The sequence below is a fragment of the Homo sapiens genome, chromosome 7 (assembly GCF_000001405.40).
Source record: "Homo sapiens chromosome 7, GRCh38.p14 Primary Assembly".
Taxonomy (NCBI): Eukaryota; Metazoa; Chordata; class Mammalia; order Primates; family Hominidae; genus Homo; species Homo sapiens.
Window position 1 is genome coordinate 131,418,134 of NC_000007.14, and position 15,833 is coordinate 131,433,966.

The 15,833-nt window shown below is 37.5% G+C and overlaps 1 protein-coding gene across 7 annotated transcripts in view; it reads left to right on the forward strand.

The window, feature by feature from the left end:
- Positions 1 to 15,833, forward strand: part of MKLN1 (muskelin 1) — a 386,539-nt gene that overhangs the window by 308,040 nt on the left and 62,666 nt on the right. For all 7 annotated transcript variants that reach the window (NM_001145354.2, XM_047420401.1, NM_001321316.2 and 4 more), the window contains one exon: positions 10,900 to 11,012. In NM_001145354.2, the coding sequence (NP_001138826.1) occupies positions 10,900 to 11,012 (113 nt within the window). The remainder of the gene's footprint in view (positions 1 to 10,899; positions 11,013 to 15,833) is intronic.

Sequence of the window (15,833 nt, forward strand, 5' to 3'; positions counted from 1 at the left end):
CGAGGTGGGTGGATCACCTGAGGTCAGGAGTTCTAGACCAGCCTGGCCAACATGGTAAAACCCCATCTCTACTAAAAATACAAAAATTAGCCGGGCATGGTGGCAGGTGCCTGTAATCCCAGCTACTCGGGGGGCCGAGGCAGGAGAATCACTTGAACCTGGGAGGCGGAGGTTGCAGTGAGGCGAGATTGCGCCATCGCACTCCAGCCTGGGAGACAAGAGCAAGACTTCGTCTCAAAAAAAAAAAAAAAAAAAAAAAGAGAGATAAATCAGGGGTGTTCAATCTTTTGGCTTCCCTGGGCCACATTGGAAGAAGAATTGTCTTGGACCACACATAAAATACACTAACAATAGCTTATGAGCTTACAAAAAAAATCACAAAAAAAGTCTCTTAATGTTTTAAGTAAGTTTACAAATTTGTCTTGGGCCACATTGAAAGCCATCCTGGGCCTCATGCAGCCCATGGGCCACAGGTTGGACAAGCTTGAGATAAGTGGTAGTAGAGCCAGCAGGATGGCAGAATGCCACATTTCATGACATGACTCTGTCTTTACTCACCAAATTCTTAGAAGTTTTCTCTAGTAAAATTGATTTGGGAGTTGATTTTTATTTACTTATTTTTTGGTAGATACTGGTGAGACAATTAGGTTTGGGGTTCAAACTGAGGTAGGACAGTAGTGAGGCAACTTCTGTGGATTCCAATGTCTGGAAGCAGAAATATGAGGAAACATGCCCTGGAACTCAATAGGAAAAGCTCTGAACTTTCACAAGACTGAAATTATGGTTCAGGTTAAATTAAACAGGTCTCTAGTTGTGACTGGGTAATCCAGGACTCTGATCAAGAGAAAACAAAAGAAATCAGAAAATACTATTCAGAAGTCTAACAACTTTCATGCCTTGGCATTCCCAATCTTTTATTTCAGCTAGCTATTGCTGTCGATTTTTTGTTCTGTTCTCAGTCCTTTGGCTATTTCATGTTTGTTTACATGAAGCTTCATGAATAGATTTTAAGGGAGCCCATGATAGTCTTTAAACGGTGTGCAAAATTTTTGTTTTTGTGTAGTTTTCTGGGAAGATTCATTACATATATATATGTATATATATATATATATATTTTTGTTTTTTTTTTTTTTTTGAGACAGAGTCTCGCTCTGTTGCCCAGGCTGGAGTGCAGTGGCATGATCTCGGCTCACTGCAACCTCTGCCTCCGGGGTTCAAGTGACTCTCCTGCCTCAGCCTCCCGAGTAGCTGGGATTACAGGCGCCCGCCCAGCTAATTTTTGTATTTTTAGTAGGACATTGTTGTGCCATGTTGGCCAGGCTGGTCTTGAACTTCTGACCTCAGGTGATCATCCTGCCTTGGCCTCCCAAAGTGCCAGGATTACATACATGAGCCATCGTGCCTGGCCTCATTACAGATATTCTTAAAGGACTTAATCCCTATCTTAATTGACATTTTATGGTAAGTACTGCTGAACCAGGTATTCAAATAAAGTGTCTTCATACAGGTGATATTCATTATTGAACTGATATTATTACAAAGTAAAACATTGCCACCTTTCTACTACTCTTGGTTTTTTTTCCAGAATTTTTGTTGCTAGATCAGAGGTATGTGAGAAAGAGAGTGGGAAGAGGTGAAGTCAGAGAAAGAGAGTGGGAAGAGGTGAAATCAGAGAAATAGCTGGGGGCACAAACTGTGTTGAGTTTTTTAGGACTTTGTTTAGGACTTTAACCTACATGCAGAGTGAAGTGGGAAGCCATTGTTGGGTTTAAGAAATGCTATGAACTGACCTTGCATTTTAACAAAACAAATTGAGTGAAGGGCAGCGAGTCCTTTAAGGATCCTATTGCTCACCTGAGAAGTGATTATAGCATTGGCTTATACTAGAATGGTAGTAGTAATGTTGAAAATTGGTCACATTTTGGATGTATTTTAAAAGGTATCATATAAATGCTAAATGACGAGTTGATGGGTGCAGTACACCAACATGGCAAATGTATACATGTGTAACAAACCTGCGTGTTGTGCACATGTACCCTAAAACTTAAAGTATAATTAAAAAAAAAAAAGATAGTATGTGGAATGAGCCCATCAGCTGGCTGCTTATGAAAGAGTAGCTATTAGTGAGTATGAGAAGGTGAAAGAGAAAAAGAGAGAGGGGGAGCACATGGTGGCAGGGAGAGAGAGAGAAACTAGAAAAAAAAAGGTATCATATAGAGCTGACAGGATTTTTTGATGAACTGGATGAGAAGTGTGAGAAAAAGAAGCTAAGGATGACTTAAAGTTTTGACCTGAGCAATTAGAAAAATGGTGTAACCATTCTCTAAGATGGGTACAACAAGAGGATCCAATATGGTAATATGGTGGGTTGTTCAGCAACTTGATTTTAGACAAGTTAAGTCTGAGATGCCAATTAGACATCTACATAGGTATGTCAAGTAAGCAGTTGGATATATTAGTTTGAGGTTCAGGAGATAGATCTAACCAAAGTAATAATTCCCTCTACATTTATGTAACACTGTTCAAACCATTATTACTACAATAATTTCCACATTGTTTTAGAGTTGTTCACACAAGTATTGTATATACCATTGCTGTCTCTCCAGCTTCCCAGCCCCCATGGACAAGGGGGGAAGGACAGGGATCTTGCCTTATTTATTTTTATGACTATAGAGGCTAGAATGGAGTAGATGTGCACTAAATATTTGTTGGATTGGATCAAAGTTTTAAAATTCATTTTCCTTTGAGTAGAAAGAAAAATATTTACCTGGAAACTGTATTCAGATACTGCTGTAAACCTTGATAAGTAGATCAGGTTATTATGTCATTTATTATACTAATATTTTCTGTGGTGGATCTGTTTTATTGGTTATATTCGAACATATTTAAATTTTCAGATTCTACTTGTTATGCCATTTAGACTATGCTTCCCAAAGCTGTAATTATCATTACTTCGGGATCTAGGTAGAAAAACTAAATATAGAGCTTTGCATTTGTTAAAGTAAAATTTGTTGCTTTCTGAACTTGGTTTGGGCTCAAGTGCACAATCTGGTGTATCCTTGGGTTTTTCTCTCCAAAATTTCTTCTGTGTTTCTATTATGACTATTAGTAGCATAATTTACTGAGGGCTTTCATATACTCTAAGTATCTATTTAATCATTTAGGTACCATAGCCCTGTTATTGATCAGCAGTTACCTTAATTATCAGGTTGATCTTAATCACTTTCAAAGAGATTGTATTTATCATCAATCTTTGAAAGAACCTTTCTAGTCAGATCTTAATGATATGGCAGCCACATATAATAGGTAGGTGTTAAGTTTGTGGGAAGGAGAGTTGGGTGTCTGACATCCCTGGGATTGAATCCTGGCTCTACCCCTGACTTCTTATTCGATCTTGAATGAATTGTATTGATTAAAATGGTGATAATAAACTAAGTAATTGTGAGAGTTAAATGAAATAATGTATTTTGTATGTGCATATATTATTTATATAACATGCATTTGATATGCCATATATTAATATGCAGCAGTGATTAATTATGCTGAGAGAATTTTATATGACTCAAAGGAATTTTCTTTTGTGTGTTTTTTGCATAATTTGACAAAATTTCACTATGGAAATGTTTTAAAGTAATTAAAAAGTTTGTGAAAAAGTTTAAAACAACTTGAAAAGCAGTGTTGAGGGGAAAAAGTAACTCACTCATAATTCCACATTCTAAAAAACCAATGTTATTTTGGTATATTTGTTTAATCTTTTATATAATTGGTGCCTTAGGAAGGGACACCATAAATATATTTATAATATTTTTGAGACAAAATACTAAAGTGCATATAAGAATTTTCTTGATGAAGATCAGGTAGGTTTAGTAGTGAAGAATAACTTTCTCTAAGTAGAGTTTGAACAACCAGGAAATTCCATGTTAACAAAACTGGTGCATAAGTAGTAAAATATAGTTTAAAGAAGCCCAGTTATTACTTTAAGTATGCATTTTAAAGTTTTCTAGCACAAGGATTCTTTATCTGTTGAAGTTAGGTGCAACATGTTGTCTGTTTGCAAATTTTTTCTAGGAAGAAAATCTGTGGCTTCAGATAATCAAAGAGACTCTTACTAACTCACAAAATTAAGAACACTGGCCAGACATGGTAGCTCATACCTATAATCCCAGAGTTTTGGGATGCTGAGGTGGAAGGATCACTTGAGGCTGGGAGTTCGAGATCAGCCTGGGCAACACAGCAAGACCTCTGTCTCTGCAAAATATTTTTTTTAGTTAGCCAGGCATGGTGACATGTGCCTGTAGTCCCAGCTCTGTGGGAGGCTGAGGCTTGAGGAGGATGGCTTGAGCCCAGAAGTTCGAGGCTGCAGTGAGCTATGATTGTGCCACTGCACTCCAGTCCAGTCGACAGAGCAAGATTCTGTCTCCGGAAATTGTTTTAAAAAAAGAACACCTTCACTAGAGTAAAACTTCATAAAGTTAATTTCAGCTTATTTAACATGGCTTATATTTTAAAGCAATTGTTGCTTCCCGGTGTCTCATATACCTTGTTTTCTTAGATATTAGAAACTTAATAGTACCTAGCTTTTGTTTTCTTTTTTTAGTCTGTAGGGTTTTTTTTTTCCCATATTGCTGTCTTCTCTAAGGATACAGTGACCATTTTAAAAGGTGTATGATGGCACAAATTTTATTATTTAATTTTCAAAGCTTTCTTCCCTCCTAAGGGAATCCTATCATTCATGCCATGGTAGAGAAGGAATGTTGTATTCTGTCCTACTGAATTTGTCCTACTGGATCAGTTTTATTAATTGTAATCCCTATACCTGGCACCTCTCCACTTAAGATTCTTCAACTGTGACTTGGGTTTCGACTGGGAAAAGAACAGTGAATAGAAAGAGAAAAGCCACGTCTATTTTGTTTCAGTGTGGAAGTCTGTTGAGTTAGAAATATATTAATAAATTTCCATTGTGTTAGGCTGTTCCTTGTTGTGTAACTCTCATTACGTTCTGAGAACCTACGATTTAAGCCTTTTTCTTCTTTCTCAATCAGAATAGGTATGAAGACTTAGGCAAAGCTCTAATATTTGGTATCTACAAAAGAAGTTGATGGAGAGTTGCTTGTCACTTGGAAGAGCCTTTCTGTAGAAATTTGAACCTTTAACTGTTCTGTAGCTATTATATGAAAGTGCTTTTATTATTATTTTTATTTATTTATTTATTTTTTGAGATGGAGTTTCACTCTTGTTGTCCAGGCTGGAGTGCAATGGCACAGTCTCAGCTCACTGCAACCTCCACGTCCTGGGTTCAAGTGATTCTCCTGCCTCAGCCTCCTGAGTAGCTGGGATTACAGGCATGTGCCACCACGCCTGGCTAATTTTGTATTTTCAGTAGAGCCAGGCTTTCTCCATGTTGGTCATGCTGGTCTCGAACTCCCGACCTCAGGTGATCCGCCTGCCTCGGCCTCCCAAAGTGCTGGGATTACTGGAGTGAGCCACCACATCCGGCCTGAAAGTGCTTTTATTTTTTTACATGTGGTACCACATAGTTTTTCTTGATGTTCCTTAAAGAAACTTTTGAAGAGAGTGCCTAAACATGGGTTTTGGTTGCTATTACAAATTTATTCATATGGCTGTACTTCTGAAAGTAATGTGCATCTTTCTTTTACACTGTTAACAGAAAGAATTCTGAAATGCAGACTTCATTAGGAATACAAAGTATATTGTCATAGGCATAACAATTCAGCCTTTTAGTAAGGAAAGTAACTGTATGTTGAATTCACCCAAAAGATTTAGATAGTGTTGTAATCATAGCTTTATGTAAGAATACAGTTCTATTTAAAAAGGGAGGCAGTGAATTCAGTTGATGATCTGCTGGGTCATGATACTTCAAGGGGATGGCTTAAGAAGGGAAAGGTAAAGAGCATATAAAATATTTTTCCCCTCTTCAAAAAATTCAAAAATATTTCTGTCTTCAAAAATTGTCATGTTAATTTAAGTCTTACTGAACTTCACTTTTAGAAGCATTCAGACTCTATCTAAATATTATAGAGTTTTATTTCTATCTTAAAGATAAATTTGTTTCTTAAAACCTTTTTTTAAAAAATTTTTTTCTCTCGGTGTCTTAACTAAGAATTAAGGTAACTTCTTTCACCAGCCTGTTAACCCTTCCCCTGCCTCTTCTTTTTGATACATGAATTTTGTCTAAGTTTTGGGCCCAGGCTATGTCAATGCGTAGTATACACATCCTATACAGTGTCAGAGTGGAAAAACTGATTTAATTACAAAAGTAGTGTGCCATCTTGTGGAGGATTATGCAATCAGCACAGTCTGATTTATCCTAAAAATCAAAGTAGAAGACAGATATTGCACTTGGGCACTAAAAATAAAAAGCCTATTCCATTGTGCAAAAAGACACTGAGATGTCTTTATATACCTTACATTTCTACATTATTTTTAGTGCATATAAGATGTGTAGATTGGTACTACTGGTAGTCGGTAGCTCCAGGGTTTGTTTTATACTGGTACCAAATTGGTACATGTACTATACCAAAGAATGTGGTTGAATTTTAGTTTTTGTGGCCTAAGTAATGAAAAATAGATTGATTGGTGATTGACTCAGTGTTTTAGAATGAAATTTGTTTGCCGTTTCGAACATAGGCCACTTTACCTCCAATCCCTGTCATTCTCAACTCCTTCAGTCAGTCCTGTATGCTGCAAGTTCAGATGTTACCTTGCTACCCCTCTGCCTAAGATCTTCTGTGGCTTCTCCACTGTCTGTGTGGAGTCAAGTTCAAAGTCTTTATCCTGTTATTTAATCCCTTCCATGATCTGGACACACCTGTCTTTTAACCTCCTCTCCACCTCCTACCTATGTGTTCTTTTAAATCAAACAGTGTATTTATTCATCACACAGTTTAACCATTTAACATGCATTATTTAATTTAATTTAATTCTCACAGCAGCTTTATGGGATAGATACTGTATCACATCTTAGAGATTAAGAAACCAATAGTTAAGGAACTGTGTGGTGGTCACATAGCTGTGGTGATAGAGCCAGGATTGTAGCCAAGATCTGCCTGACTAGAGTACATGTTCATTAAAACACTTTTGACGTGTTTTTCTGTCTCTATACTTTTGCTATTCTTTTTACTCTGTTTGAAAAGCCCTCTTTTTTTTTTGTTCTGTATCCTGCCTTCCTGCTGGTGCATAGGTCAAATACCACTGTTACCATGAAATCTCTTCTGAGTCCCCTCAGCCAGATATACTGTCTTCCCTCTTTTGAACCCTCATGGTGCTTTTTACCTTGTTTATCTTTCTTATGACATTTAGTCTGCCCTGCGTTATGTTGCTCTATTTGCCTTTTGATATTCTTGGCTAGATTGTAAGTTCCTTGAGGATAGGGACTGGGGACTATGTCTTCTTTCTTTTGAATTCTCTAAAGTGCTTTGCGAATTCTCAGTACTCAAAAAGTGTTGAATAAACATTCCTCAAAGTGCTGGGAGAAATGGATAGACACTATAGCCTATATCCCATTCAGAAAAAATATAGAGAAGGGGTGAAGGGGTTGCTCCTTGAAGAGGATCGTACTACCCCAGATGTACATGAATTATTATAGAACCTATAAGCATGAGAATGGGCTTCCATAAACCAATCTACTACCCTACTGCAAATATTAATGCTTTCTTTTTTCTTTCTACTTCCTTCTCTCTACAGTTCTCTCCAATTATATCCATAATTTTTAAAGGTCTTTGATATCCTTTGTGCATTAAATAATACCTTTTCTGGTGTCTGTTTCTGGATAATAGTTCTTCTTTGCATGACTTAAATAATTAGATGAATTAATTAAAATTTTTGTTACGCATTTTCATTCAGGTATGTCAGAAGGCTCAGTTTCCATCCGATTCATTTAATTTTACTATTAAACTTCAGCTGGGACCACAAAGCTTTCATGGATAGGAATGACATCTTGGCTTAATTCCATTAGGATGCTTACTGCGTGCCAGATTTTATTTTGCTCAGCTATCAATGAGGCTGTTGTGGAAATGTGGGTTTTCTTTGCTGTGAGAATTTATGCGTACAAAGAGACCTGCTTTTCAGAAAGAACATTGAGAACCCAGAGCCCAAGAGGAAGGGTTATTAAAGTTAATGAACCAGGGTAACCTTATCCAGAGGGTGCCCAGAAACACTATAAAACAAAAGGTCAATTGCTATTGCTATTTTAGTTATATACCCCCTCTCCAGGCTTCAGAATTTAACAGGGTTAATTTCCTTTATAGTGAGGACTTGGCAAATAATTTTTAAGCCAGATGAAAATTCTTTAATTTTTTTTTTCTGTAAAATTATGTGTCTGAGTATTACTGTGTGCCATTTTGGAAACAGAATGTTACTTAACGATGATAATGGATTGTTTTATAGTTCCAAGATAGGACAGTGTTTTTTTTGTAGTTTAAAATAATTGGCATTATTTCACACTTATACAGTGCCAAAAGTGTTTTATGTACTGAATTAGACATGTAGTCAGTTATAATATCATTTTTATTGTACTTAGTAACTACAGAGTGTTTTTCATTTTTATGTATATTTTAAAGGTGGAAATGATGTTCATACTTGACAGCCTTCAGAATGTTTTCATGTAACTTTTTTTTTTTTAGATGGAGTCTCGCTGTGTTGCCCAGGCTGGAGTGCAGTGGTGCGATCTCAGCTCACTGCAGCCTCCACCTCCTGAGTTCAAGTGATTCTCCTGCCTCAGCCTCTTGAGTAGCTGGGATTACAGATGTGTGCCACCATGCCAGGCTAATTTTTGTATTTTTGGTAGAGACGGGATTTCACCATGTTGACCAGGCTGGTCTCAAACTCCCAATCTCAGATGAGCCACCATGCCTGGCCTCATATAACTTATATCTGAAGGACTTGACAACACTGAGAGTTTTGCAGATGAAAAAAACTAAAACCTAGGGAGCTTAAATGACCTGTACTGATCACCCAGTTAGTACTAGAACTCAGTCCTGCTCCAGTGGCCTGTTCTTATCCAGAAAGCAGTGAAGCATTTTTTTATTTCCCGTGGTATTTGGGGGATAGAAGAGACAAATCACTTGAAAAATTTACTTAGAGTTTGAAATTATATGCAGATATGACAGAAATCTTGTAGAAGATAGCCTAACTCTGTGAATGGCAAAAGGTTTTCTTAAATAGTCTTCTAGCATTTCCAAGTACACTTTGAATTGTAACCCTGCATGGTGGGATGTAACTTAGATGACAGCTTCCATATGTACAGGCCTAAAGCGTGTTAGTTAGAGAGTACATGACTTTACAGTTTTCGTATAGTGTTTTATTTAACATTAAAAGATAATAATTGGTGGGCTTATACAACTGGTAGACTTAAAACAGTTACAAAGGGGGAAATATTTGAAGAAAGGAAACAACTTTTTTTTTATTTTTCATTTTTTGAGACAGAGTCTCACACTGTCACCCCAGGCTGGAGTGCAGTGATGTGATCTCAGCTCCCTGCAACCTCTGCCTCCCAGGTTCAAGTGATTCTCCTGCCTCAGCCTCCCGAATAGTTGGGATTACAGGTGCCCGTCACCACACCTGCCTAATTTTTTTGTATTTTTAGTAGAGACGGAGTTTCACTATGTTGGCCAGGCTGGTCTCAAACACCTGACCTTGTGATCCACCTGCCTCAGCCCCTCAAAGTGCTGGGATTACAGGCATGAGCCACTGTGCCAAATTGGAAACGCCTATTATTGCATGAAGAAGGGGCTGAATGGGGTGGCTCATGCCTATAATCCTGGTACTTTGGGAGGCTGAGGTGGGAGGATTGCTTGAGGCCAGGAGTTCAATACCATCCTGGACAACATAGTGAGCCCCTGTCTGTAACCCCCACCCCCCCAAAAAAAGTTAGCTGGGCATGGTGGCACATTATTGTAGTCCCAGCTACTCGAGAGGCTGGGGTGGAGGGATTGCTTGAACCCAGGAGGCTGCAGTGAGCCATGATTGCACCACTGCACTCCAGCATGGGCAACAGAGAGAGACCGTGTCTCAAAATAAATAAATAAATAAATAATAAAAATAAAGAAGGATCTATGATACACAATGTTATATGTAAAGATTCATTATTCACTGAAGAAGAAAATCAGTTTTGTCAGCGGTAAAGTCTGTGAATATAATAGACATTTCAGAGTCAGAAGAAACCAAATTCTCAAGATACTTAGAATGACTTAAAGGATAATTTCTGATGAGTTAAATGTACCACAATATATCTGGAAAAATTTCTCCCAGTTTTTATAGGAATATCAAAGCTGTGGATCACTTTTTCTTAAGATATCTAATTTTAACTTAAAGCTAGTTTTAACCATTGTTTTTGATATAGCAATAGAGAGAAATTGCCTTTAATATGACTTTTTTCAAAAACAGCTAAATGTTCTTATGCTGTACTTTTACACTATATATTCCTCTGGGGGTTTTATTTTTTAGAATCTGAATTAAAAAATTCCATAGTGGATAAAAAGTGGCTGCATTATTAAAAAGCTGGTAAATGTAAAGTTTTCAAGGCCAAACACAGAAACTCCAAACCAGCTGCACGTTAAATTTTTCTGGGATACTTTACAAATACAGACCCATTTTTACCCATTGAAAACCTGTGGAATCAGAATCTTGGGACATGCCTCCTAGTTATCTGTATTTTTATAAATCTCTCAAAATAATGGTTCTGCAGCATCCTTTTCATATATTCATGCCTAGGAAATATTAGTCTAGTATATATTTGAGAAAGTTACCAGGTTAAAATTTTTATTTTAAAATTTATTTAGATGTAGCTTCTTAAGTGGCCTTAGAAACAGCTGGCTAGGTTTGGGTGCTTATGCTTATTTTGTCCTTTTTTTTTTACACATATTTTTCTGATTTTCATAGAGACTGTTTATTTGTTTGGTGGCTGGGATGGAACACAAGATCTTGCTGACTTCTGGGCGTACAGTGTGAAGGAGAACCAGTGGACATGTATCTCTAGAGACACTGAAAAAGAGGCAAGTTCTCAGACTTTTCATACATCTATATTACAGAAGGGGCGTAGATGTGCACTTGTTTTTCGGCATGATTATATTCTTCACTAATGTCTGTCAGCAGTAGTAGCAATAGAATTTGTGGTAAACAAGTTTTTTTTAAGTACTCTTGAATTTCAGCTTCTATAACTGGCTGTTCAGCTACTGATACACAACCAAATCTGTTTTATAGAGAGAGAGAGAGTGAGGAATGGGGATTTTTATATCATTTTGTTTTTAAACTGCTTTAGCCTAGAAATGTAACTGTGTAACTGTCTTTTTTGCTTATGTCTCCACTACCTCTATTCTTATTTTTAACATTCATCTTATTTTTATTTCTTCTGGAATATTGTGTTTTTGACACTCACTATCTCCCTATTTTGGCTCCTGTTATTTTACTATATGTCAGTTTTCATAAATGATATATATTATCTTTTTTTTGGAGTCTTGCTCTATCGCCCAGGCTGGAGTGCAGTGGCACCATCTCGACTCACTGCAAGCTCCGCCTCCCAGGTTCATGCCATTCTCCTGCCTCAGCCTCCCAAGTAGCTGGGACTACAGGCGTCCGCCACCACGCCCAGCGAATTTTTTTTTGTATTTTAGTAGAGACGGGGTTTCACCATGTTAACCAGGATGGTCTCGATCTCCTGACCTCGTGATCCACCCGCCTCGGCCTCCCAAAGTACTGGGATTATAGGCGTGAGCCACTGCGCCTGGCTGATACATATTATCTTTAATAAAAATTGTATATATGTATGCATGTACAGATCTGTGTATGCACATATACATAAAGCATTTCCATAGTGAATAAGATGGCTTAGGTTTATGGCTTTGAATTAAGTGCATGATTATATCCTGGAATAAAGTAAATGTTAATTCATTTATTATTTTTTCAAATCTTTATAGAACATTTTAATTGCACTCTCCATTTAAACTGTTTCAGGATATAAAGTGACAAATGAGCTATAACAAAACAGTAGGAGCCTCAAATGAAAAGGAGATAAAACGGCCTAATTCATAACCCACTGATTTTGATCTAGGAAGGCCATTTCCAAAGATCTAGTGCTGTGTCGTTAATCCTGGGGAACTAGGTTCTTGCTTACTCTGAAATTATGTTAATAAAAACTGTCCAGGGATTAATCACTGGACAGTTTTTATTTTTTCAAATAGATGTTGAAATTCTGATTTACTTTTCTTACCCCGGGAAAGTATGTGTAAGTGGCCTTCCTGTTTCAGTATTGAAGTACTGTTCTCTGAAATGATTATTTCTGTCTTCAACAACAAAAGACAAATCTTAAATTAAAAAAAAAACTAACTTTTTTCTACTAAAGTATTGTAAATCTAAGGCGATGACATCTGTAATTATTCTTGTGTTAAGCCTAGGTTTCATCCTAAAATCCTCCCTCTTCTTCAGTGAATGTGTCTAATTAGTGCCTAAGATCCAACAGTTCTCCAAGTGCCTGGCATGATCCAACAGGTCATCCAATACCACATTTCAAATGTCTTTTCCTCTCCATTCCTTTTAGCAGTTTTTTCAACTTTATGGTTTCTTACGCTTTTTATATCTCCATTGTTGACCTATTCTGTGTTCACCAACACAGTCTTTAAAAAGCATATTTGGGCTCGGTGTGGTGGCTCACACCTATAATCACAGTACTTTGGGAGGTCAAGGCAGGAGGACTGCTTGAGGATTGGAGGTGGAGACTGCAGTGAGCCATTACAGTGTCATTGCCTCCAGCCTCGGTGACAGAGCAAGACCCTGTCTCAAAACAAAAACAAGGCCGGGCACAGTGGCTCATGCCTGTAATCCCAGCACTTCGGGAGAGCGAGGCCAGCAGATCACCTGAGCTCAGTAGTTTGAGACCAGCCTGTGACCAACATGGTGGAACCCCATCTGCACTAAAAATAGAAACTAGCTGGGCATGGTAGCAGGTGCCTGTAATCCTAGCTAGCTGGGAGGCTGAGGCAGGAGAATCCCTTGAACCCAGGAGGCGGAGGTTGCAGTGAGCCGAGATGGCACCACTGTGCTCCAGCCTGGTCGACAGAGTGAGACTCTGTCTCAAAAAAAAACAAAAAAAAACAACCAAAAACAAGTCCCCCAAATACCATATTTGATCCTATGACACCTCTGCTTAAACCCTGTGGTTAGCTTCAGCCTTTGTTTCAGTTATCGTTTACACTGTTTATTACATTACAAGCACTCAAAAAACTTCAGTGGCATATAGTAATAAGCATTTATTTGCTCATGAGTCTACAAGTTGGCTCGGTCATTCTTTTGGTTTGGCCGGGCTCATTCATTTGTCTAGGAGTCAGCTATCTGTCAGCTGGTCTAGTGTGGTTTCAGCTGGGACTGCCTGGCTCTGTTTTATATAGGCTAGCCAGAGCTTGTTCTCATGGCAGGTGCTGGGCTGCAAAGGGGATGAAGTAGACATGAGCAATCCATCAATTTTTTTCTTGCCCTGATAGCAAAAAGCAATCATGTAACCAAGTCCAGAGTCAGTTGGTGCAGGATACTATTAAAGGGCATAGATACAGGAAATTGTAAATAACAACAACAATAATAAAACAATTTATTTATCTCACTTCCTTTTGCTTAGAGTAAAAACTCGAAATTTCTCATCAAGATTTGCTACTCAATTACTTTTCCAGCCTCATCTCCCATGTGCCAGTTAAAGTTGCTGGAATTATTCAACTTTCTCGCCTGTGTCCTTTGGCAATGTTGTTTTCCTTGTTTGGAATTAACAGAGGGAGGCTCTCCCCCTAACTTTACCTAATAAATACCCACTTATTCTTTAAAACTCAGTTCAGACTTCACTTTCTCTGTAAAGCCTTTCTTGAACTTGCCAAGCAGAATTAAAAGCTTCCTTTGATGTGCTCACTTAACCCCTTTTAATACTTGGATGGCTTACTATAATGATTGGTTTATATTCATGTTTCCCTATCTGAATTCCTTAAAGGCGTGAATCATATTCTTTAAAATGTATGTATTTTAAGGATGTGCACGTTCTTACTCTTTAGTGAGTAAGTAGGTGAGGTAAGTTAAATGAGAAATTAATACTAGAGAAAAGGGAACGATAAATACAAAATCCAGAGAGGGTAGGGGGTTTAAAGGTAATATTAAATGTTATTCTTCTAAAGCTTGGTATGGGTAGATAACTTCATTCCGTTATTTTTTTATACCATATACATATGTTGTAAGTAATATTTATAATGCAATAAGTAATTATTTTAAAACTCATGCTGGAAAAATATAGAGATTATTTTGATGAGAACACTTTCTGTTAGTTCAAAGTCAGTACAGATGAGTAAAGTGGTGATTCAGTACTGGAGCTCAGATTTATTATAGTTAATTAATAGACTCATAAAAACCTCCGCCTCCCGGGTTCAAGCAATTCTCCTGCCTCAGCCTCCCGAGTAGCTGGGATTACAGGTGCCTGCCACCACGCCTGGCTAATTTTTGTATTTTTAGTAGAGACAGGGTTTCATCATGTTGACCAGGATGGTCTCGATCTCTTGACCTCGTAATCCACTGGCCTCGGCCTCCGAAAGTGCTGGGATTGCAGGCATGAGCCACCGCGCCTGGCCCTCAAGTGGCATTTTTGTATAGTTTTCTAAATCTCTTTAATGTTTGGCTCAATAAAAGACATCTGGATTCATATGCTTCTTTATTCAGTTGCTGTATCAGAAAGTCATGTAGCCTCTGGAAATGTTCACATATACTCATAAGAGAATAAGAGTGAAAAGACAAATTTTTTTGTTAGTCATGTAAAAATAACTTTGACCTTATAGACTCCCTTGAAGTACCTAGGAGACCCCAGACCACACTGAGAACTGCTGCTTTAATCTAATCCACAGTTCCTATTCAGATATAGACAATTATCCCAATAATGCCCCAGTAATGTTTTTTATAGGCATCCCTTGTCACTCTGCAACCCCAGCCCAGAATTTAGACCATGATCATGTATTGCTTTTTGGTGTCATGCTTCTTTAGTCATCTTTAGTCTAGAATAGTTCCCTAAACTTTCTTTGTCTTTCTTGACTTTGATGATTTTTAAAGAGTACAGGGCAGTTGTTTTTTAGAGTATCCTTCAACTGGGTTTGTATGTTTTCTTAGGATTGGATTTAGATGACATATTTTTAGCAAGAATAACCCATAGATCACATTAGCATCTCCTCCATATATCATATCAGGAGACACATTACATCAGTTTGTCTGATATTAGCTTCAATCACTTGGTTAAGGAGATGCCCACCAGATTTGTCTAATTTATAATTAATAAGTAATTTATATGGAGACATTTCAAGATTATGAAAATATGCCATTACTCATCAAACTCTCACCCTTTTATCATCCATTAATGAAACTTAAAGCTTTTCCCAAAATGGTTATACCATTTTATACTTTGCCTGCAATGTATGAGATTTCTGGTTACTCCCTATCTTCTTGGCCCATTGATTTGCTTTGGCACCTTGGCCAAAAATCAATTGATCATGTAAGTATATATCTCTTTTTGTACTCTGTTCTGTTCTATTATATTTTGGTCTCTTCTTAACCAATATGACACTCCCTCGATTACTGTAGCTTTATAGTAATTCATGAAGTCAGGTAATATATAAATTTTAGAATCACCAATTTCTAGAACTGTTGGGATTATGATGGGAATATGATAAATCTATATATTAATTTGGAGCAAATTGGTGGGTTTCATTTTGTCGTTTGAATTTTTTTTTTTTTTTTTTGAGACAGAGTTTTGCTCTTGTTGCCTAGGCCAGAGTGCAATGATGCGATCTCGGCTCACTGCAACC